Source organism: Homo sapiens, chromosome 19, assembly GCF_000001405.40.
Source record: "Homo sapiens chromosome 19, GRCh38.p14 Primary Assembly".
Lineage (NCBI taxonomy): Eukaryota > Metazoa > Chordata > Mammalia > Primates > Hominidae > Homo > Homo sapiens.
In genome coordinates this window covers 21,263,445-21,264,247 of record NC_000019.10, presented here as the reverse complement: position 1 = coordinate 21,264,247, position 803 = coordinate 21,263,445, and the positions used below count along the sequence as shown (strand labels likewise).

At 43.1% G+C, this 803-nt stretch overlaps 1 annotated feature.

The window, feature by feature from the left end:
* Positions 204 to 404: a silencer, noted in NCBI's record as "peak3409 fragment used in MPRA reporter construct". NCBI's record gives its function as "represses an SCP1 promoter by STARR-seq MPRAs in K562 erythroleukemia cells {active_cell/tissue: K562}" and the evidence as "EXISTENCE:reporter gene assay evidence [ECO:0000049][PMID:32103011]".

Sequence of the window (803 nt, the reverse complement as noted above, 5' to 3'; positions counted from 1 at the left end):
GGATTCAGGAGGATATTTATAATTATTTAGGTGCACTGGCCCAGTCGGATTAACATCCAAAGGACTGAGCCCCGAACAAAGAGTTAAGTTACCTTTTAAGCATTTCATGGGGGTGGAGTGGGGGGAGATCTGTGCAGGGGGAAGCGTACTACAGAAGTGAGAAACAAAGACAATCATTCAATTGAGACATGCATTACATCATTTCTTACTTTTCAAGGAAAAACATGTTTTGCAACTTGAGTGTATCTGTCTAGTGACCTAGCAGCTGCACAGCTAGGAAAACAAAGTCTTCACAATGCCTTGGAAGGCAGGAGAGATAAAGCTCACTAGCCACAGAAAAACAGGCAGTTAGTTTTTAAAGGACTCCAGCTCTTTCTCTTTCTCAGGAGGAGTTAGGTTTTCTTACATACAACTGAGTTTCTGCTTACACACTTTAATTTCTTTCAATTCCTGTTCCATTCCCCTTTTTGGTGCTTTTTATAACAGAGGTGTTAATAGGAAGCACTACTATTTGCCACCTTTTCGTGGAGATGAGCTTCTTCTTCGATTGGCAGCAGCTGATATCTGGTAAATACCACCAACTGCATGATAGTGTGTCAGGCCACTATTGCCTCCGTAGTTGACTGAATGCTCCTAATAAACAGGGGTAAAAGGCAAGGGAGGATGAGGCAGATGCCAAGAGTAAGTAAGAACCCACTAATGAGGGTTTTGAATCCTCGAAAGGCTGAGAACCTTCCTCCAAACAAGGAATCCAGGGACCAACTGAACCAAGTCTGAACTGGAACATGGGCCAACTTGCACAT